At 32.7% G+C, this 25691-nt stretch overlaps 1 long non-coding RNA gene across 1 annotated transcript in view; it reads right to left on the reverse strand.

Moving 5' to 3' along the window:
- Nucleotides 1-475: 475 nt before the first annotated feature.
- The window catches only part of LOC105370285 (uncharacterized), a 39671-nt gene continuing 14455 nt past the window's right edge, over nucleotides 476-25691 (reverse strand). Inside the window, exons 3-4 of the long non-coding RNA XR_001750062.1 lie at nucleotides 15053-15130; nucleotides 476-579 (exon numbers count right to left, since the gene is read on the reverse strand). This is a non-coding gene — a long non-coding RNA (uncharacterized LOC105370285). The remainder of the gene's footprint in view (nucleotides 580-15052; nucleotides 15131-25691) is intronic.

Genomic DNA, 25691 nt, shown 5'->3' on the forward strand with positions numbered 1-25691 from the left:
GGTTTATGTATTGTTTGCAATTTATACCTCAATAAAAATAATTAAAATTATTTTTATTGAGGTATAAATTAATAAAATAAAAATAATTTTAATTATTTTTATTGAAGTACATTCTAATTATTATTACTAAAAATAATAATTACAGAACTAATTATATATCTTAATCTTTATATGGCTTTTTGCATGACTATTCTTCACTATGCTAAATTATGTAGAAGCAGGCCTTACAAAAGTAAGTCTTGATCAGTAGGTGGCAACATTCAGTTAAAAAAAAACAAAAAACAAAACTGACATCTCTTTTTCCTCTGTCACCATAAACCGGAGGCCCAAACGTTAAAGGGTTGACTTCTGCTTCTACTACCTGCTATGGCAAGGAACAAACTGTGATCAGCTGTCTGGAAGGAGAAGGAGGATAACTTACAAAATCTAACATTAAGAATACTAGAAAAGAGAGCAAACAAATACGTACCACAGCTAGTCTGCAGACATCTCTTTTAACTGTATCAGTAATGTACAATATTTTCATTCCTATATTGTTTAGTGTAAATCGATGTTTCCATGATGAAAGGAATTCTGAATCTGTGCTTGGAGATTCAAAAGGAGAAAATGTTATCATCTGTTTATGTTAAGTGGAGATGTCAACCCCTCGCCACATTATTTCTACTGTATACTAGAGCCAGGCCTTTTAACATATTTTTGCTGTGTTTGAAAGTAGTGACTGTGTCCTGGATAGTTTCCTATGTTTTTGTATAAAATACATCTGAATATGGAATTTATTCACATGCCTAAAAATATTCCATAAATTTAAAAACCACCCTTCATTAATAACAAATTCTTGTATATCCTTCCAGTATTAATTAATATTTGTAGAAGTAAATCTAGAAATAAATTTTTGTCTCTAGTCTTTTTTTATATAAAAAACAGAAAATGAGATACTCTGTTTCCCACAGTTTCTTGACTAACACTATTTCTTGGAGAAAATTCAGTATCTTTCATAGTGTTTCCTCATTCTTTTCATTTTGCCATACATTTTATTATATTTGTTGATATACTATGATTTATTTAACCAGTTATCCATTGCTGGTAATTTGAGTTGCCGATATTATTTTTCTGTTTCAAACAAAGCTAAAATTAATAAAATAGTACATATGTCATTTCACATGTGTGAAAACATCCAGAAGATAAATTTCCAGACATAAAATTGCAGGGGAAACTATATATATACATGTGTAATTTTGATATATACTGCCAATTTTCTCTCCAGGACGTTTGCACCAATGTAGACTCTCAACAGTAATACATCAGACTTAGCGTTTCCTTAGTCTCACAGAGAGTCTTATCAACATTGGATTTTGTCAAATGGATAGATGAAATACTGTATGAAAAAGTAGCATGCCTTATTTTTTCTCGAGGTAGAATTTACACAGCGTAAACTACATAAATCTTAAACATAAGGCTTGTTGAATTTTCACATATGTATGAATTTTCACATATTTTTACCATGTCACACCACCACATCAAAACATAGAGCATTTCCAGCATTTTTAAATGCTCCTTTTGCTCCCCCTAGACAGTACACCTGTAAGGAAGACTGCTAATCTCTACCATCAAAATCTAGTTTTTCCTTTTTACACTTAATATACGTAGAATAAAATACCACTAGAATTCTGGAGTGTCTGGCTTTTTCCCTCAATCCCATGTTTATGGTATTCATCTGTGATATCATGTAAACATGTTTTTCATTCATTTTCATTGCTGTCATATCTATTATTTGAATGTATCTCAATTTATTCATCTTATGAATAAATAACACTGAAATTAATTTCCATTTTTTGCTATCAAGAAACATCATCTAGTCACTGCAGTATCTACAACCCACAATATTTATTGTTTTGTTACTCATAATAATTCCATTGAAACCATTTTCTGACTCATATTGTGATTTCCTCCTTGTCCATGAGTTACATATACGAGTACCTCAATTTCTAAGCATTTGGAGACTTTCCAGTTAGGTTTATAATATTACATTTTAGTGAATCCACATGTTCAAAGAATATACATTCAAATTATTTCAGATCTTTGATGTTTGTTGCTATATGCTTTACAGTGGAGCATGTTAATTTCAACATGTACTTGGAAAGACTATAATTTGTATAAATTGGATATGATGTTCTAATGTGTTTCAAATACACCAACATTGAACTGTTAATTTCTATATTTTTAATGATTTCTCTGTTTGCTTATCAGTTACTGAGAAGGCTTATTAAAATCTTAATTGTGGATTTTTCTACCTCAGCATTTAGTTCTGTCAAATCTTCATATTTTTGGAAAATAATTCTATCAGGTATAGAAAAATTTAGAATTGTTATATCGTATCATAGAATTAATATTTTAACCATTATGATATATCTCTGCCATTTGTTTGGCATTAATACTTGTCTGATATTAAGTTAGCCATCCCTGCTTTTGGGGGGTAATGTTTGTATGGTAAATCTTTTTCTATACCTTTCCTTTTAATATTTCTGTATCTTAATATTGTAAGTGGGTGAATGTTTTATAAGTAATATGTGGCTTACTTTTTAATTAATCAAATTTGACTATTTCTGTAGTTTATGTAAAGTTTAGAAATCTTACATTTGATATATTTTCTGGAAGACTTCTATTTAAAAAAATCGTATTTTAAAATAAAATTTTTCCTATTAGCATGCATAAACAGGTTTTGTGTGAATATATATTTTTTATATTTCAGAGATAAATACCTAAGTGTACAATTGCTTTGTCTTATAGTTGTCATATGTTTAATATTAATATAAATGAGCAAATCATTTTCCTGAGTTGTGGTACCATTTTACATTCCCACCAGCAATGTATAAGTGATATGTTTTCTCTGCATTTTCAATTGCATTTAGTGTTATAATTATTTAATGTTGTTACTGAAAGGAGTTGGGGAAAATGTACTAACCTGGTAGTTTGGAAGTGAATGGGGTTTGTAAAACCAAAGGCAAAAAGAATTGCATATAATAATTATAAAATAGTTGATAAAGTTGTCCCCTACAAAGATATGATGTTAATAACTCTGGAATCACTACACATGCATACTGAAATTGAACAACGAAATAATAAGTGGTGGATAGTGCAATCAGGATTCTCACTGTCGAAGTGGTGTGTGTTATAGATCAGCAAATGGAGGAGGTTAAAATGATCTATGTAGTAATGGATTAGAGGTGGAGACATCAGTATGAACTCATGTTTAGCTTAATATAGATGCTGATGGCAACATGTAATATATTTATAGATATGTGGAGATGGAATAGTATACATACATTGTTCTGTCAGCTGATGGGTATAAAAGCATTGACACCCCAAGGGCAACAAGCACACCTCACACTTAGCAGATGGTTTCTAATACCACTCCTCAATAAAGAAAATCAAGGTCATTGGAGAAATGTCTGATACTAGGACTGAGACATGAAATATATAAGGTGATCTGGGCACACCTTGCAGTCTCAGAAAGAAAGATAATACTCAAGGAAACACTGTGGGGATGGATTATGTCATAAACAGAGACACAGGAGCCAAATGAAAGAGATACCAACTGCCAAGACTAGAACAATTTGAGCAACAAACTAAATTACTTTGAGATTAAACTCCAAAATATACTATGTGTGTGTGTGTGTGTGTGTGTATATATATATATATATGTCATTATAGGCTCATCTCATTGATTTATATATACATATATATATTTATATACATAGAAGAGATGAGTCTATGATATAAATAACTGGATACAATATATAAATAAATACAGGACAATAGGCAATTTTTCCATGCAGAACAATTCCAAATACTATATATAGAAACTCCACCTCAAAGAGATAGATTGTAATTCCTCACTCTTTAAACATATCCTTTTCTTAGTGATGGTCTTCTAAGAAGTACAATTAAAAAATTGGAAATTTGGGTAATTAATCTGCAGGGAAATTGATGGAAAACACCCCAGCCAAATAATCAAGAATTGATAATATGTACCCTTGATAGGATATAATGAAAATTATATTTTAACTTCGCAGACTTCTCCACATCCTATAAATCTAGTCATGAGACAAACATCAAATAAATCTTAATTGAGAAATACTCTATCAAATAACTGGTCAGTACATTTCAAACTGTCAAGATCATCAAAAACTAGGAGAGTCCATGAAACTGTCACAGCTAAGAAGATTCTAGGGAGACAGGACTGCTAAATATAATGTGGTATCCCGAGTGAGATTTTGGAACCAAAAAAGTAAAACAACTTTAGAAATCTAAAAATGTATGGACTTCAATTTAAAAATGCATTAATATTGCTTTATTAATTATGACAAATATAACACATTAATGTGAGATGTCAAAAATAAAAAATTGGTGCAGGTATATAGGAACTCACTGCATTGTCTGTGCAACTTTTCTGTAAATATAAATCTATTCTGTGGTAAAATTTTGTTTCAAACAAAACAGAAAATATACCCTGCCTGTTGATGGCAAGAGTGTCAAACAATTTGTAGCCACATTTAACCCATCACACAGGTTTAACCCAAAGCTATGTCTTATGACCTGGATGCTGCCTTAGAGTCAAGTCCAAAAATTTAAACTAAAACAAAGAGCAATCATTAGCTGTATGTTTCATTTAAATTGTTTAGATCATCCTGAAGCAGATTTCTGTTTAATGCATTTCATACTCTCCCACCACTTATTCGTAAGTCACACATAGTTTCACTATTAACAAATGGTAAAATAATAGTAAAAACAATTAAAGCAGATCAATAAAATCAATGCATTCTAATGAATAAAGTTCAATTAATACCCAAAGCCTAATGCGGATTAAAACGTAAAATACAAAGTCAAGCCATTTCCTGTAATTCAATCAATTTATTATTATAATTCTAAAAATAACTAAAACTTATTCAGGTTGTTTGTCTCATGTACCAAACTTTCAATATGGTCATATGTATAAATAAAGTGAAATACGGCTCTCAGTTTCTAAATTATTTGGAGGCTTTTATTAAAACAAACTTAATTTTCAAATGTTTTACTTGGGACACTTATCTGAAATTTACCAGCTTTTTAAATAAGTTAATCTATCTCTACAAAAATAAGAAATGTCCCTGTAGTCTCACTAATCTGTCTCAGCAACAAGTTTTCCAATACTAAAAATATCCTCCTTTGGTAAGTAAATAAGGCCATGTAATTGTCACTAAAATTATTATATATGTGCATTTTCTACAGTAAAGGTCCTGTACATGACTATAACTGAAATATTCCAGGGAATAAATTCAAAATTATGTGATTATTTTTTATTCCACTAGCCGAAATGCTTTATTGTGTGTTCTCTAATTTATGAAAAAATAAATATGATGGAAAATAATTTCACTAGTTATTCTAAATATATTTGTCATTAATGTCAATTGATAAGTAATAATAAAAATATAAACCTAGCACAAAGAGATCTTTCACTAACTCAGAATTAATATTTTGTTTCCAAATCAAAGAGATTTTTAAATTTATAATATTAAGATAATTTTTGGCTATTAACTAAAATAAGAATCAGTACTAGATGTACTCAAAAATCCTGTCAGCAAACTTAAAACAAGCAAGCTATCCCCAGCCCCCATACCCTCTGTCAGGCTCACCTCTTCTGACTTTAATAGACAAATTCTATTTAATTCCACTTATTTTTGAAAAGCCAGTTACAATATAAAATCTTATTACTCATGTAAGCCTTTTCTGCTCATATGAATACTTTATTTTAAAAAGTGATAATACAAACACACTCACATTTGTTAGGTACTCCATTCATATTCTAATATAAAATAGTTTGTATTAAAAGAAACATTTCTTGGGCCAGGCACAGTGGCTCATGCCTGTAATCCCACCATTTTGAGAGGCCGAGGAGGGCGGATCACTTGAGGTCAAGAGTTTGAGACCACCCTGGCCAACATGGTGAAACCCCGTCTCTACTAAAACTAAAAAAAATAGCCGGATGTGGTGGCGCATGCATGTAGTCCCAGCTACTCAGGAGGCTGAGGTAGGTGAATTGCTTGAACCTGGGAGGCAAAGGCTGATGTGAGCCAAGATCACGCCACTGAAGTCCAGCCTGGGTGACAGAGCGAGACTCTGTCTCTAAAAAATAAATAATGAAAAAAAGAAACATATCTTGAATGACATACACTAAAGTTTGTTGTTCTTTTTGCACTTTTATTATTGTGTGTTAGTTGTAACAGACATTATATTAATTTTTATCAGATAAAAACAAAAGGCAAAACTGTCAGTTTTTTAAAAGATTTATTTAAATTATGATTACTCTATTTATTAACTTATTTAGGTTTAGTTGAATATCACTTATTGTGATATATCAGCTTAAGTATAAAATGAGGTTACAACTAGCTGAAACATATCAAATCTATAAAGGTCATAAGTTCATTGTCTTTTTCAAAGTAAAAAGTTCTCTATTTTAATAAGCATTATAAGATCTATTAATTGTGTTATTCCTGGAAAATCAAAATATTATCAGACTCCTTTATAGTAGCCTGATCTTAAAGGCAGCAGAATGTTAGAGATGATGAGCATTTACCCAAACACATACAGCAATTCTGCCAGCTAACTCCTAAAACTGACCCTACCAAATTTTCTAGGCTATGCTCTCTACAACTTCATGAAGACCTTAAAGCTCATATTTAGAAATTTTGTTGATAAAAATAACTATACTCTATGATTATAACTGTTCAATTATGTCAAGTACACATAATGATGCTGCAAACCAAATATGTATGCCAAGTACTTCCAGAAACATCCCCAAAGCTGCCTTATCTGGAGAAGAATGCTCTCCTCTTAAAGCTGAGATTTGAAAGTGGTTCCCTGTAACTTATGCTATTGCTAAATGAACTGCATATTTTTCTCCATAAATTGGTTTTTGAGGACTAAGACTCTTTTACAACTCAGCAATAAATAAATAAAATTATAAGACAATTAACTGTGGTTAATGAGAAAAACTACATTTATTTCAAGTGATGTGGGATTGACTAAAAGTCTTACCAAACTGATTGCTGAATAAGTAGTGATATTCAGTATGAATTGGTCTTATCAATATTATTGGTTCCTGACTGAAAAATTTGCTCTTATTTGAATAAATAAGGAAATGACTGGATTCATTCTTCTCTTTGTGTTAATTTCCCCTAGGACCCATTTTATCTATAACTTCTGGTGAGTTAGATAAAGCTCAAATATTTCATCTCTTTATCAAATGAGGTAGCTAAGTAGTTTTCCTGTGTATAAATAACCTTGGTGCCCTGATATAGTACAATACTATTGGTTGTTTCACAATGAAATTTCTAAAAAGTAATTTTTTAGCCATCACATTTCCAGAATAGATAGTGCCCAAAGTATCGTCCTGCTCAACTTATTAGCAAGCACATATTGCTTTTTACTTTCCCACCTGAATACATTACACAAAACATCAATAAAGACATCTACACTAATGAGAATTAGTCACCCACAATTCGAGACCCTTTCTATAACTGTATAAAATAATTTACACATACACAAGCTGGGTTTAAGCCTATATTACATATAATATTTTTAAATACTTAAAAACGATTTGAAAGTCCAGTTAAAATAATTCATATTGAATTAAAAGTAATCCAGGAGTTTTCATAGTTTCTCTAGTCATATTCACATCTCTAGAAATACAGGCTATTACAATGTTTTGAAAACTGACACAATCCATAGACATTTTCTTAAATCAATCCAATTACTGAATTAGAGCTCATGGCCACTTTATATGAGTTAAGTCATGTCTTTTATCAGTACTCTGTCCAGTCTGTCTTGCTGGGTCTAGACTGAGTTGGGTTTCTCAGATACATCGATGTGGAATAAGACAGCCCAACTGAGCAAACACAGTGTCCATAGAGAACTGGGCCATTTAGTCTTAAAACAGAAGCCCCATTTGTGTGTACAGAGAAAGGCACTCCTAAAAAAAAAAAAAAAAAAAAAAAAAAGGAACAGAGCAATTGTAGAACATTTCAGCTCAAGTGAAAAGGACATTTTTTTTTCAACCTGACAAACTTGATGGTTCTTTACTATACTACTAATGGAGTTGCTGCACTGTTCATAAATAGGCAATGTCAGCAAAATCACTCCAGAAAGGAGGATCTATTACAATCTGCCACTTCTCTTTACCTCAACTTATTGAAGAAAGGATTGATTGGTACTATAACAAATGGGCTTTTAACATATTGGAAGAATTCAAAAAAATACATATTTCCTGGATAAATCACAGCAGGAGTCTTAAAATAGTATATGAAATCATATAAGATAACTTTATATATTATAGAGAAAGTTTATTCTAGAACTACAATGACAAAATTATTAGGCATAGAGAACAGAAACTTGGGTTTAAGACAATGAGGATACCAATACCAATCTTAAGGATAAATAAATTGAAGAAAACACTCCAATTTATTTCAAAGACCCATATAATAATTGCCTTCATTCCAGTGCAGACACTGTGAGGTCCTTTTAGTGAAATTGAAAGCCAAATAGAAAATAGTCACACAAAATCAAATAGCACTTTGCTATCTGCTAGCAGCTCAAGGAGACTATGTGTTTTAATTACCCAAGCGCCTTGTTCTTTCAAATCCAGATAAGTACATTAAACCAATATAATAAAAATTCAGATTGTTGTAAAGTTATACCAATAGGGTCCATAAGCTAGGGCCCCCAAAAACTCTTTAAATGTAATTATAAAACTAATAATGTACCCTAGTGGGTTTTTTCTTCTATTTCTCTTTCTTTTTCTGTAATACAGCATGCCATTCATTCTTATGCAGACAAACAGAATAATCCCTCTTCAAACATACAGTTTTGAATCAGTTATATTAAATAGAGCAGGATAATTTTCATATAATTTTTATCCAGCTATAAAGGGACAATTATCTGTAAATAGTATGGGAGTGGATGCACTCCCATTTAGATGACAATCACTCTATACAGAAACATGAAAAGCAGAGTGTTTGCCAATGGAAGGTATGTGATAACAACAAAATTTCCAATAAAATAGTTTATCAAGAAATAGTTCAATTATCCAGAAAAATTCTGTCTTAGCAAATACTCATGGCATTTCATGATTTTGTGTAACATTATCTGATATGTATATAACCCTGAGTCATCTGACTTTTTTTTATTGTAGTATTTCCCAGGCTAAAAGCTGAAAACCTGATTGCATTTTTAGCCTGATAACTGACTCTCCTGTAATAATATAGTAATAAAGCTTCTGCTTATAGACCACCGACCAATATGCACAAGTATCTATGTTATATCATACATGCAGATACAAAAAACAAACATACGATAAGCATAATCCAGAAAATTTTAAGAGGAAAGGGGAGATAAGCTGAACTTATTTTAATTAATTCATTCAGAATTGTCAGGAAAGTCCAGAGTGAGCCATACAGATATTTGTGGAGCATTTCTATCAGAGAGATCAAGAAGTGCAAAGGCCCTGATCATATGCATTGTTTTGAGATGTATCAAGTAGGTCAGTGAATCTGGAAAGACCTGAGCAAGTAGGAGCATGGTAGAAGATGATCCCATCTATATAACTAGCTCATCTGGATTTTACTCTGATAGCAATGGGAAGCCATTGGTGCTTTTTGAGCAGACGGAGTAAATGACATGATATGTTTTGAAGGAAACTATTATGGATGCTCTGTGAGAAAAGTTTATTCTCTCTCTCTCTCTAGATATAGTTTAATATATAAGTAGATATGTATATGGTTACATATGTATTGGTGTGTGTATATAGTAGTTTTTAAAAAGTAATAAAAATTTAGTGGGTGTTACAGCAAATAAAAAATTTGGCATTATTGCTTTTAAATCAGAAAGTATTAAAACCCACACCTTATTAGTAGAAATGATGTCTTTTCAATATGCTATAAAAATGTATCAGATAATAATCACTCAAATAAATTATTATTTTTATTTTTATTTTTATTTTTTGAGACAGTGTCTCCCTCTGTCACCCAGGCTGGAGTGCAGTGGTGCAATCTTGGCTCACTGCAACCTCTGCTTCCCGGGAAGCCTCCAGAGTAGCTGGGACTACAGGTGCGTGCCACCACGCCCAGCTAATTTTTTGTATTTTTAGTAGAGATGGAGTTTCACCGCATTAGCCAGAAGGGTCTTGATCTCCTGAGCTCGTGAGCCGCCCCCCCTTGGCCTCCCAAAGTGCTGGGATTACAGGCGTGAGCCACCGCGCCAAGCCTGAAATTATTATATTTTTATTAAGGTACTGTGCTAGCTAAGATTTAAATTTTACCTTATTTTAGTAGTTAACATTAGTATCAAGTGACCCTTTTTAAAAGATGAATATTATCAATGTTATAAAAATGCAAGTGTTTAGAATACTGTAAACACTAGTTACATCAAATAAATAGATGAATGAAAAAATGAATAAATGAATGAACAGACAAATGCACAAGTGAGCAAATGGATTAATTAATAAATAATTTGTGGCATATGTTTGTTATAATTATTTTGTCATATAGATAAACAAATGATGCATTATGTGGTGACTTACTTAAGTATTGCGGGGCAATTAGTTGGAAAGAATTAATTTGTCTAATTTACATGCATTTACACTTAGAGCTTAGGAGAGTCTAAATACCAACACAGAAAACTATTAGTATGCTAAATTTGTGTTCAGACTCTAATTTACTGCAGAACACAAATTGAGTCACATTTTAGACCAAGAAATTCTATCATGTGGTTAAAAAGAAATTCTCCCACAAAGTGTTGTTTACAAGTTCTCACTTCAATGCATCTGGATAAACCAGAATGTTATTTGAAAGACTTTACTATGTCATGAGTCTGAAAAGCTCTTTACCTACTATAATAATTGAGCAATATGGATGTCTTAGTCCATTTGGCTGTATTTAAAATACAAATACCATAAACTGGGTAGATTGTAAACAACAGAAATTTATTTATCACATTTCCTGACTGGAAAGTCCAGGAAAAAAATACCAGCAAATTCAGGGTCTGGTGAGGGTTACCTTCCTAGTTCATAGATGGCAACTTCTTATGTGTCCTCAAGTAATGGAAAGGAAAACTCTGGTCTCTTCAGCCTCTTATAAATGCACTAATCACATTCATGAGGGTTCCACTCTCGTGACATAATCACCTACTAAAAAGGCCCTCTACTCCTAAAACCATCACATTGTGGTTTAGGTTTTACCATATAAATTTAGGGGAGACTCAAATATTCAGACTATAGCAATAGACAAGTAAATATTACTTTTTATTTAGTTTTGGTTAAATATCCATTTGGTAATATCTGAATACAACTACTCAATCTTCACCTTCTAATTTTCCTTCCCTTTATACCTATCATCCAGAAAATAATGATTAAATACCTATAATTCATAAAAAAGTTAAATTTTCAAAATGGAATTCATATAAATATATTATTAAATACAGAAATATTACTTTTTTATCAACTTATAAATTATAAATAAGATTATTATGCCCCATAAGCATTTAAATATACTTCTTTGCTTAAATATCTGTCACTATATACTATATTGTAAACATATAGAAGAAAATGCTATTTTTTTGCCTTTATATCGTCTACATTTTCAAATCACCTGACCTATGTTAGTAGCCTCATATTTTTAACACTTTTAACATATAATTTATAAGCCATAAAAATAATGTGTACCTCCTTTAAATGTGTACCATAAAGAATTTTAGTATACTTAGAGTAGAAAAACCATCACCACAAGCTAATTTTGAAACATTTCCATAATCCTAAAAAAAAGCTTGTGCCCACTTTCAGTCACTCTCTATTTCTACTTCCAGTCCTAGGAAAACACTAGTTTATTTTCTCTTCTCAGCATTGGCTTTTCTGGGATATTTCAAAAAAATGAAATAATACTATATATGCTTTTTGTCTATCTTTGTTTCACTGAGCAAAATGTTTTTGAAGTTCATCCATGTTGTTATATATATCAGTTCTTCATTCCTTTCTACTGCCAAATGATATTTCATAGCAAGAATATGCCATATTTTGTTCATCCATTCATCAGTTGATAAATATTTAACTTGCTTCCACTTTGCCTATTATAAATCATGCTGATGTGAACACTATTGTATAAATGTGTATGGATGTATTCATTTTCTTGGAGAGATACACAGGAGTGGACTCTCAGCCATATGGTAAGTCTATTTTTAACTGATTAAGAAACTGCCATAGTATTGTTAAAAATGGCTGTGCTATTCTATTTTTCCACTAGCAATATTTGAGCCTTCCAATTTTATGCATCTTGGCCAATACTTGTTAAAGTCTGTCTGCTCCTTATAAAAACCTTCAGCAAAGGAGGAACAGAAGTGTTCTTCTTCAAACTTATTATTAACATCTATGAAAAGTCTGCCAGTGACATCACACTTAAACATGAAAAATTGAATTATTTCATGCTAGTATCAGAAACATGGCAAGAATATCCTCTTCCATTACTTCTACTCATCATTTTACTAGAAATACTATCTAGTGGTGCAATCAGTGAAGAAAAAGGAGTCAAGGCATACAAATTCTAAAGGAAGAAGTGAAAGTCTTTGATTAGATGACTTTATCATTTTTACAGAAAATTAAATAAAATCTTCAAAAAAGTTAAAATAACCAAAAAGTGAGTTTGGCAAGTTAGCAGGATAAATTCAAAATTCAAAAATCAGTTGTATTTCTATAAGCTACCAGTGAAGAATTCAGTACTAGAATTTCAAAAATTGATTTACAATCGTATCAAAAATATAAAATACTCAAAGATAAATCTGACAAAGGATGTGCAAGAATTTAGTCTGAAAACCACAAAACATTGCTGAAAACACTGACGTAAATAATGCAAAAGATATACTGTTCTCATAATCAAAAGATTCCATATTGTTAACATATCAATTTTCCCCAAACTAACTTATAGATTTAAAGCCATTTCAATAAAAATTACAGGGGATTTTTTTTTTGTAGAAATTGCATAACTGATTTAAAGTCTTCAAAATTCATAAAAATACACAGAATAGAATATAGAACAATCAAAACAACTTTGAAAAAAAAAGATTCATGTTAGGGAACTGACTATGTGATATTGAAGCCAATTTTAAAGCTGAAATAGTAAAAATGTTGTGATATTGGCATATAGAAGAGATCAATAGAATAAAAAAGAGAGACTACATATAAGCCATCCATATATTTTCTGATGGTTACTTTTGTGTGTCAGCTTGACTGGGTAAAGTGATACCAAGATACCTTGTAGAACGTTTTTTCTGGGTGTGTCTATTTTTGATGTTTCCAGAAGAGATTAGCATTTGAATCAGTGGGCAGAGTAAAGTAGATCCACCCTTACCATTATGGGATCCCCCGAATAGAAACAAAAGGGGGAGGAAATGTGAATCCACTCTCTTCTTTAATTGAGACATCCACTTTCTCTTGTCCTTGGGCATCTTGAGCTCCTCGTTCTCAAGCCTTCAAACTTGGATTGAAGTACACAACTGGCTTTCCCAGTGTTCCAGCTTGCAAAGGGCATATTGTGGAACTACTGAGCCTCACTCATAATCACATTCACCAATTCCCATGACAAATCTCCTCCTATGTATTACATATATCCTTTTGGTACTGTTTCTCTGGAGAACCCTAACTATTACATAAATGAGGGTGAGGAGGCTGCTGTTATTGGGGGGTAAGGAGACCTTTTTGACTAGCAAAAAACCCAAACAAACAAAAAAATCTCATCAGAATTTAGGGGCTCGATGTCCCCAGCTGCATTGTCTTTCCATACACCTCCATCTCAACTTACAGGATCTTGTTGTTTCCCTTTCAATGACCTCACTTTAATAGAAAGTGATCCTCTAACCACATTCTTAGAGGATGAGAGTTCAACTTGCATAGTAATTCAGTCAATCACTGTATGAGTTCATGTGCTTGATTTTCAGCAATGTTAATACTGGGATTATAAGAAAGGGCTTTTCTTCAGGGCACACCTAAAATCTATGAAAGAAAAATAAACATTGGGGCCCCCAAATCACAAGCTAAAGGGAAAAGTCAAGTTGGGAACTGCTTAGGGCAAACCTGCCTCTCATTCTATTCAAAGTCACCTCTCTGCTAAGATAAATGCATATCTTATTATGCATTTGGAGAGTCTAATCAGGAATTCAAAAGAATGCAATCATTTGTCTTATCTACCTGTGACTTGGAAGCCCCTCACCACTTTGAGTTGTCCTGCCTTTCTGGACTGAACCAATGTTTATCTTATATATGTTGATTGATGTCTCATGTTTCTGTAATATGTATAAAACCAAACTGTGCTCTGACAACCTTGGGCACATGTCAGGACCTCCTGAGGCTATGTCATGGGCACACATCCTCAACCTTGGCAAAATAAACATTTCTAAATTAACTGAGACCTGTCTCAGACATTCAGAGTTCATATTTTGGTAACCACGGAAAGATTCTGAATAGAGGTACCCCTGACCTTTGACAAATTTTCTACTGGTGCTTGGTACCAGCATAAGCTAACTTTATGGCCAAAACCAATAGAACAATTTGCTGAGGTCTGGGAACACACCCTCGAGAGAATCCCTGAACTCCCAAAATTTCATCGAGATCTAAAATTTATTTTGCTGTACAACTCCCTTTGTTTTTGGAGATTTACTTGCTTCCAACAAGGAAGGCAAGATTTCCTGCTTCATGATGATGGAAAGCAAGGTAACTTCTTTATGGATTTTGAGCTTGCTCCCAGCAAGGAAGACGAGTTGAAGTTTTCTCCTGCTTCTAGGATGGTAGAGAGCAGTCTTCAGTCTGAGACCCACCCCTCGGTAAGTGGCTGAGTTAGGGTTTTGTGTTGGCTAAAGTTTAACAACCAGCTGGTCCTAATTTCTTCTTATCATCAGAGCACTCAGTGATCATATTGTTGGAGTTTTATTTGTTGTTGTTTTTTCTAGTCTTTCTCCCACTAGATTTGACCAACATTACCTGACTTGATTAAATCTATATGACAATTCCAAATTATGGTTAACAAAGCCTCTTTAATTTGGTTAAAATTCCTCGCATCTGGAAAAGAGGAAAAACAAACAATCAAAAACAAAAAGTATGTGCTTGGTGTCTATGCTTGCTTTCAGTCTCAAAAATCAAATGTTCTTTCATTTACTTTTCTTACACCCAATAACTTCTTCCTCCTTGGCCATCTGCAGTACCATAAAATCTAGAAAAGGCTTCTACTGACTCAAAACCCTTTAAAGAATCCAGAACAAAGGCACCACTCACCCTTTTAGGGGTGATGTGTTTTCTTTTTGGAGTTGCAAGAGTCATGGGCAAATTCTTCATAGGTCTAAAGGTCTGTTTTCCTGTATTGCATGACCTGGCTTCTTTGGCTTTGGGGTACTACAGATGACCTTGTACTGTGAGAGGACCTCTCTTTTGGAGAGGCTAATCAGAAACTCAAAAGAATGCAACCATTTGTCTCTTATCTATCTATGACCTGGAAGCCTTTCCCCTGTTTTGAGTTGTCCTCCCTTTCTGGACCGAACCAATGTTCTTCTTACATATATTGATTGATGTCTCATATTTCCCTAAAATGTATAAAACCAAACTGTGCTCTTACCACCTTGGGCACATGTTGTTAGGACCTCCTGAGGCTGTGTCATGGGCACACATCCTCAACCTTGGCAAAATAAACATTGTAAATTAACTGAGACCTGTTGCGATATTCAGGTTCACAAAACTCTTACACGATGCATGTAGTACATATTGAAAATTCACATCCGTTAGTTCATTCTTTTCTCAGCACTTGATCCTGTGACATTAGGAACAATTAACCAACGTCATTATATTTCTTAGTTTTCCCAAAATGTATGAAAGTGCCAGAAACAGAGTTACTTAACTTCCTGCCTCTTGAAAGAGATTGATTAGGAGTATAATGCAAATATTTTGTGTATCTGTATAAACAGTTTATGCCAGTTCTCTTTCCTAGTGGAATAGAATCTTGTAGTGTCTTCAAATTTAATCAGATTAGAGAGCCAGCTGCAGAAACCCCAAAGCCAATTCTAAAAATTTATCTTTAAACTTCTATTCCAGCTGGGCACAGGGGCTCATGTCTGTATTCCTGGCACTTTGGGAATTTGAGTCAAGGGATACCTTGAGGAATTGAAGGCTAGCCTGGACAACATAGAGAAACCAAGTCTCTACAAAAAATACAGAAATTAGCCAGGCATGGTGGTGTGTGCCTATAGTCCCAGCTACTGGGGTGGTGCTGGGGGACGCTGAGGTGGGAAAATCACATGATCCTGGGAGGACAAAGCTGCATTGAGCTGTGTTCATTCCACTGCACTTCAGTCTGGGCAACAGAGGAAGACCCTGTCTCATAAAACAAATAAATTAAAAAGAAAATAAAGTTCTCTTCCTCTGGAACTACTTCTGATAGCAAAATCTGTAGTCAGAATTCTCCAGAGAAGCAGATTCAGTAGAATATATATAGATATATAAATGAAGGTACAGAAGCAACTGAAAGGAGAAAGAATAGTCTTTTCAACATATACCACTAGAAAACTTAGAGAGCCACATGCAAATAAAAAAAGAAAGAAGACAAATTATCTCTATCCATTTCTTTTAATGTATACGAATACTAATTCAAGTGAAGTAGACACCTCAATGTAAAACCTTAAACTATAAAACTTCTAGAAGAAAGGAGAAAATTTTTGTTACATTGGGGTTAACAATGATTTCTTAAGTAAAAATCCAAAAAGCACAATCTATAAAAACAAAATTGATAAACTGGACTTCACCCAAGTTAAGAACTGCTCTTCTCTGAAAGACATGTTTAAGGCAGTGTAAAGACAAACCACTGGTTGGGAAAAAAATTTAGAAATTACATATCTGATGACATGGTTTGACTATATCCTCACCAAAATCTCATCTTGAATTGTAGCTCCCATAATTCCAATGTGTTGTGGGAGGGATCCAGTGGGAGATAAAAGAATCATGGAGGTGGTTTCCCCCACACTGTTCTCATGGTAGTGAATAAGTTTTATAAGGGGAATGGTTTTATAAGGGGAAACCCCTTTCACTTGACTCTTATTTTCTCTCTTTTCTGCTGCCATGTAAGATGTGCCTTTCGCCTTCCACTATGATTGTGAGGCCTCCCCAGCCACTTGGAACTGTGAGTCCATTAAACCTCTATTTCTGTATAAATTACTCAGTCTCAGGTATGTCTCTATCAGCAGTGTGAAAATGGACTAATACATCTGATATGCACTTTTACCCAGGATACGCAAAGTATTATAAATCAATAATAAGAAATAGTCAACTAACTTTAGAACGTCAGTGAAAGTGGAACAGAAAAAAAATGAACATTGTTACTAAAGAAGAAACATGGATGGCAAATAGCACATGAAATATATTAGATCACATGTAGCACTGAAACTTTTAACAATTTGAAAGGCAAGAAAGTATATTCTTTTATAATTGAATACTTGGCAATGTTTTTAAGTAATTTTTTAAAAGTTTTTATATTAATGTATTCTCTAGCAATATTACATTATTCTTGTTTATTATCTTATTCTTTGTATCAATTTTGGCAAATTGTATTTCCTTAAAAACTGATAATATGCACTGTTTTTCAAGTTTATGACGAAAAATTGTATAAATTATTTTTAGTTTAAAAATATCTAACATTATTTATTTATTTCAAGCCTTTTTATTTTATACATGTGCCTTACAATCAATATATCCAAATAAGGCCAGGTGTGGTGGCTCACTCCTGTAATCCCAGCTCTTTAGGAGGCTGAGGTGGGAGGATTGCTTGAGCTCAGGAGTTCAGGACCAACATGGCAAGACTCTGTCTCTATTATATATATATATTATTTCAAGATATAGATATATAATAATTTTACTTGATATGCTTTTAGTAATTTCTTTATTAAAATAGCATTCTAAAATATATATCAAAATGATTGTTTATTTTATGGTAACTTCAATCATATTATATTTTAATATGTGATCTATGTTGCAATAAAGACACATTTTTCTCAAAGAACATATCCCAATATTTTCTCATCTACAAATGAAGAAAAACAGAACTCACTTTTTAAAAAATGAAACATTATTAGCTTAGTATCTTCTTATAAACAGAGGTAACATCAATGACAATGATGTCTAAAAATCTCAGATTTTCTATTTGCAGTCTTAGTCAAGAAACTTCATTTCTTTTTGGCAAACAGATTTTAATGTATGTAACTAAAGAAAATTTTAGGTGGTAATTGTCACAGTCATCAATATATTGCAACACTCATCAAGATCTTATGTTAACATACTCCAAAATTTTTTTTGACTCAATATTCTGTATGAACAAAACACTCTCTTTCAAGTGAGTCATAACAGTTTTGGAAGGAAATCATCAATAAATTCAGAGCCTTAGGAGCTACTTTTGAATAGTATGCTATTTCAGAGTTAATGAAATCACTTACTATGCAGACAAAGGATAACAATTAGAACGCTAGGAAAAATGCCTCCTGTGAATTGCAATCAAGAAATCATCGTTTTTTCCTTTCTTTTTTTTGTATTGGTCTGCAAACTAAAAGAATCTTCTTATTAAGTTGTGTCCATATATTACACTCATTGAAAGTTTATGGCATTTATAATTTCTAAAATGTATCTTGAGTGATATTTTTTGTTTCTTCTTGGTTTAGCAGCTGAATTCTTTAATCATGAGGAAAAAATAGCATGCTTATATATTTTTTTCCTTAACAACAGCTCATTGTATGTTTTAATCTCTATTTAACAATACACTAATGGATAGAGAAAAGTGTCTGAGTCAACATGAATGTCGATCACAACAGTACCTAAAATTTCATAGTGTTATGCTAATGCCTTCTGTACCTATTTTATTAGAAAACTAGTTAACTTTTGTGAGAATCTAGATGATTTTTATAAAAGGATCCCAACTCAAATTGAGTAATAAACTAGACTTCAAGGACTATAGTTTACTTACAAGATAATATTTACTAGAGAAAGTTTGTAAAAATTGTATCAAAGAGCGTTTATTAGATTATTTAACACTTTATATTACTTAAATGTTTTGCCCAGTAGATCCAGGTGTCACAGACTTCCAGGATCTTAACTGTTACCTATTTTCAATATGTAATATGAATAATGTCCAAAACTTCCACGGTGAAGTAGTAGAGCTGGGCCTTTTTAATTAAATTATCATATGCTATATTTCAATATGTATAAAAATCACCAAACACTTTATTATTCAGGTTAAAATTTACATTAATTGCAGCAACCCTAAATATGGAAACTATTTTTGTGATTTTGGAACACAAATCTACTGGCTGAGTGCAGCAGCTCATGCCTGTAATCTCAGCACTTTGAGTGGCCAAAGTGGGTGGACAGCTTGAGCTCAGGAGTTCATGACCAGCAGCCTGGAAAAAAGTGAGACCCTGTCTATTAAAAAAAAAAACAACAACAAACAAACAAACAAAAGTTAGCTGATGTGGCAGCACAGCCTGTAGTCCCTGCTACTTGGGAGGTTAAGGTGGGAGGATGCTGTGAGCCCAAAAGCCTGAGGTTGCAGTGAGCCAAGATTGGGCCACTGCACTCCAGCCTGGGTGACAGAGCCAGACCTTATCTCAATAAATAGATGAATAAATAAATAAATAAATAAATAATAAAGAAAGAAAAAAGGAATTGGCTCTAGTGACACTATTCTATTTTAAAATCAGGACATGTGTCGCAACTTAACACTATTATCAACTAATATTGAAGGGCTTTAAATAACACATTTTTGAAGGGCGAATGAGTTTTGGTGAAAGAGCCGGAGTAATTTAATTGGAATCAACTGGTTCCATTAGTTACAAAAAAATAATTTATTATGACAACTTATTTTAAAATTACCTTTTTAAGTGTAATGTGAGAATCTCCACTGAAGACACATTTCAGTGTTTAGTACAGCCATATAAAAATTATTTAGGCTAAAACTTGATAGATACCTTTGAGGAATTTGTCAATTTACTGTTCTTCAATTTAATAAGGTTATGTATTAATGAATATTAGCAATGTCAGGGTAATAACCAACCTTATACAACTGACTTATAAAAATAATGTATATTTACCTTGTTGGTCTTTTTTTCTAATTTCTCTCCCATTGCTAAAGACTGAATTGCCAAGCAATGTTGTAATGAAAATGAAAGCCTCAGAATGTAGATGAAAATATTTTTAATTCCTTTTAAAACAGGCAATATTTCAGAGTTACCAAATCTAGGAAGAAAAATATAATAATCTATGATGTAAAATTAGCCTAATTCCATGTGAATATTAACTTATTTTATTGTTTCTTTGAATAGGTCATTATTTTAAGGTTAATAATTTTTAAATTTCCAAGAATACCACAGATATTGATTTTTCCCTTAAGACCCTCATTTGAAAGAAAACTATTTATGTATGATACTATTTATGTATGACAGTAGTATGGATTCTTCATACTACTGTCAGATCCAATTTACTTTTAAAATGAATTGGTGATTCAGTGTATATAATAGGTTCTATTTAATATAGTAATTCTATTATAAAAGGAAACTTCACAATGCCTTGTCTTCTCAATGCTCTGTAATCATTTTGGAAGTTTTTCTCGCTAGTATGTAAATTTTTCTTAATAGAACAGTCCCTATTAGTTCTGTTTACCAATAAGGAGCTTTAATTGAATTATTTGATTCTAAAATATCTTATGAAAATAAAATCCAGCTAAATAGGAAATGGAGGAAATTACATTATGTACAAAATCAATTACATGGAGATATAATAATAATTGGACCTGCATTTGTTACAACACTCAGGTCAGAGCAGAACAGCATCTGAGAGTCACTGAACATAACATAGCTTTCAACATAATCTCAATAATTTTTATTTCAAGCTTTATTCAGACACACAAAGAGTACTTGAAGCCTCTTAAAACATATAACATAATTTATTATGTGTGATTTCAGCAGGAAATCCTTTTATAAAATCAAGATAATAAACTATTTTCCTTAAAATTGTCTTCTTATGTTTGTGTTTATCCCATTAGATTATAGAAGACTTCTGCAGGAAAAAAAAAATATGGCCTAAATTTTATTGTATATATTTCACTGTGATATGGAAATTTATTTGTAACAATTTAGGTATAGCTAGCAGTCTCTTTAACCTCTTCACTTAATTCCTTTGTAATTCGACAAAATTTTAGTTGATATATTTCAGATGTTTAGTGAGCAGGCTCAGCAACACCATTTCACTTTACCAGCTGATATGGTTTGGTTGTGTCCCCACCCAAATCTCATCTGGAACTGTAGTTCCCATAATCTCCACATGTCATGGACAGGACCATGTGGGAGGTAATTGAATCATGCAGCAGTTACCTCCATGCTGTTCTCATGATAATGATTGAGTTCTCACGAGATCTTATAGTTTTATGAGGATCTTTTCCCTCTTTTTTCTCAGCACTTCTCCTTGCTGCTGCAAAGAAGGACGTGTTTGCTTTCCCTTCCACCATGATGAATGTTTCCTGAGGCCTCCTCAGCCATACTGAACTGTGAGTCAATTAAACCTCTTTTCTTTATAAATTCCACAGTCTCAGGTATGTCTTTATTAGCAAAGTGAGAAAGGACTAATACGCCATTCTGTATGGCATTTTGCTTATAACTTAATGCTTCATTGTTGAATGACTGAATATCAGGTCACAATTTTAACCATGTTTTCCTAGTATTTTGTCTCCCTAGCTATCTACTTATTTTTTTTTAGAGTAAAAATCAGATTTGGTCACAGTAAATTGTTAGTAAGGTATATGGGTTATATTTAATAAATGTTCAAATTAATACATGGATTTTATTTAGATTATTAACTTCTAAAAATGCCCAAGTATATTAAAAGAAACAGACAACTAAAAATTAAAAATATTGAAGAATTATAATTGTTAATATATGGTATCCTACTATTGAGTATTGAAGAATTATAATTTTTAACATAAGGTATCCTACTATTGGGTGTGTGTAGAAACAAATATTGGCAGTAAATTCCACTTGACAGACTTAATTTTCTAGAATATTACATTTGATAATATCAACATTGCATGAAAGATCACTAAATAGCATAGTAAATTTGGAACTAAAGAATGTAAAACTATGCTTTCTTGAATACACAAGCAAGACTTCAAAAAGTAAATAAAAGTGATTTAGCCTATTTGTTTTAGACAGAATATTTATGTCCTCCCCCAAATCCATTTATTAAACTCCAAACCCCCAAAGTGATGGTGATTGGAGATGGGGCCTTTGAGAGCTAATTAAGTTTAGATGAGGTCATGATGATGGGGCCCCCATGATGGGATTAGTTTCTTTATAAGAAAAAGAGTAGCAACCAGAGCTCTCCCTCTATGCCATATAAGGATGCAGCATGAAGTTGGCCATATACATGCCAGAAAGACCTCACCTGAACCCAACCATGCTGGCACCCTGACCTCAGACTTCCAGCCTCCAGAACTGTGAGAAATAAAATCTGTTTTTAAGTCAGCCCTTCTATGGTATTTTGTTATAGCAGTCCAAGCTTGCCTCAGACAATCTCTAAGTTTATTTTTCTTTAAAGTGAATATGATGTCTATACTTCATACTTGACTCTCAGGGATTCTGTTGAAATATCAAATTAGCTCATTGTGGTTATGATTTGCATTTCTCTGATGATTAACGATGTTGAGCATTTTTTTCTTATGTACATTGAAAATTTGCATGTCTTCTTTTGAGAAATGTCTATTTAGTTCTTTTGCCCATTTTAAAATCAGATTGTTTTGTTGCTATTGAGTTGTTTGAGTTTCTTATATATTCTGGAAATTAACCCAATGACAGATGCTTAGTTTGCAAGTACTTTCTCACATTATTTAGGTCGTGTCTTCATTTTATTGATTGTTTTCTTTGACATTCAGAAGCTTTTTAGCTTGATGTAATCCCATTTGTCTATTTTTGATTTTGTGGCCTGTTCTGTTAAGGCCTTATTTCAATAATCCTCACTTCATTTCAATTAGAATGGCTAATATTAAGAAAAGACAAAAGATTTAAAATGCTCATAAGAATACAGAAAAATAGAGATCACCTATTCATCGTTGTTAGGAATGTACATTAGTACAGTCATTACGGAAAACAGTATGATGTTTCTTCAAAACACTAAAAATAAAACTACCATATGATTCAGCAATCCCATTACTGGGTGTATAGCCAAAGAACTGAAATCAGTATGTTGAAGACACATCTGTATATCCATGCATATTGCAGTAGAATTCACAATAGCCATAATGTTAAATCAACTTACATGTCCATGTAATGATATATGAATAAGGAAAACGTGTCTTTTCAAGTAAGTATTTCAGCTATTTAATTATCTTATCTCTAGCAACCTTGCCTTCATCACTTCATTATGTAATGCCCAACCTCATTTTTACTAACCCTGTTTTCAGACTCTCCCTTTCCTTTAATCACCCAGCCTTGTTTCCACCTGAATTGACTATCCCTTAGCTAAGAGAGCCGGACAGACTCCATCTTGGCTCTTTCACTGGCAGCCCCTTCCTCAAGGACTTAACTTGTGCAAGCTGACTCCCAGCACATCCAAGAATGCAATTAACTGATAAGATACTGTGGCGAGCAATATCCACAATTCCCAGGAATTCGTCTGATTGATAATGCCCAAAGCCCCGAGTCTATCACCTTGTAATAGTCTTAAAGCCCCTGCACCTGGAACTGTTTGCTTTCCTGTAACCATCTATCCTTTTAACTTTTTGCCTACTTTATTTCTGTAAAATTGTTTTAACTAGACCCTGCTTCTCTCTTCTAAACCAAAGTATAAAAGAAAATCTAGCCCCTTCTTCAGGGTCGAGAGAATTTTGAGCGTTAGTCATCTCTTGGCCACCGGCTAAATAAACGGACTCTTAATTCATCTCAAAGTGTGAGTTTTCTCTAACTCACTCAGGTACAACAATTACTTCAACCAGATAAAACTACTTATTATTTTTTAAAAAATATGTTCTCTCAAAGAAATTGTACTGTCAGATTTTCCATTTACATACGTGTAATTTGGGTCCCTTGAAGGTGGATTGGATGAGTGCTAATTTATCTACTCTTCATCTTCACTTGGTTTACCAAAGGGAAGTGTGAGTGATCATTAAAAGGTAAACATGTTTTTTGAAGGAGTTAAAAGTTAACTACTCTCAAAATTGGAGCAAATAACTATAGAGAAAAAGTGAGACCAACTAAATTTGATTAATGCAGAAAGAGCCAGGAAAGGAATAAAATAAGAAAATAGTAGAAAAATATAGTAAAATAAAAATAAATAGAAAGCCATAGATGTGTTTTAGATGTCCTCAGCTTACTCCTTCAGATTTACTCTCTAACTTTCTCATCTTTCACTTTTTCTGGGCATGGAGAATCTTGTCTGTATTCCCAGGGTATCTTTGTTAAACCAATGGAAACCATGCCAGTTCATTAGAGACAGGCTAATTTTATCGATTGCAGAATGTTGGATATGCAATAATTGTCCTCACTGAAATATGAGGGTTTTCATTTCAGTTTACTATTCACAAGACCTTTTCTAGCACCAGCCTCCACTGATTTACTAAATGTCTTATACAACATCACAATATTCCATTATTTCTTTGAATACCATAATTTACTGTGTAAACAGTAAGAAATTAGCTAAAACCTAAGAATTTCACATCTTTCTATACCATCTATTATAAAAAGAAATTTATCTTAAAGTAGGTCAGATGCACTGTTGAAGGCTAATTTATGATGAAAACTATTAGACAATATCTTGCAAAATTGAGGTGTTAATCTGTCCAGTTTTTTTGTTTTCTGTACCATAAACAAGAATATATAATTTTCTTCCATAGGCATAATATATAACTAGTGTATAAAATTTTTGTTCAATATTCAGTTAGGCTTCATTTACTTGGTGATGATGGATACTTTATATAAGTGACCAAAGGAATGAGAGAAAAACATTTGTTAAAATGCTCTGATATGGTTTGGCTGTGTCCTCACCCAAATCTCATCTTGAACTGTAGTTCTCATAATCTCCATATGTCATGGGAAGGACCTGGTGAGAAATGAGTGAATCATGGGGTCAGTTTCCCCCATGTTGTTATGGTGATACTGAGTGAGTTCTCATGAGATCTGAAGGTTTTATTAGCATCTGGCATCTCCTCTGCTGGCATTCATTCTCTCTCCTGCTGCTCGGTGAAGAGGTGTCTTCTACCATGATTGTTAAGTTTACTGACGTCTCCCCAGCTCCTTGGAACTGTGAATCAATTAAACCTCTTTTCTTGATAAATCACCCCATCTTGGATATCTCTTCACAGCAGCATGAGAAGCAGGCTTTTTTGGGTGACATCCAATAGAATATTGAATATAATTCAGAAAATATTATTTATTATTATGTTTTGAGAAAATATTATTTTTTTAAAATTTTCTTTCCTAGTAAAACCCTACTCTTAAGAGACTTTGTGAAACCCCTCTCATGATTTGATTCCCTCTGTTTTTAAAAGGAAAAAAGACATAAATGGTAGTTATATGGACCTTGCTTCTCATACAGTAGAATCTCCTCTATC

Source organism: Homo sapiens, chromosome 13, assembly GCF_000001405.40.
Source record: "Homo sapiens chromosome 13, GRCh38.p14 Primary Assembly".
Taxonomy (NCBI): Eukaryota; Metazoa; Chordata; class Mammalia; order Primates; family Hominidae; genus Homo; species Homo sapiens.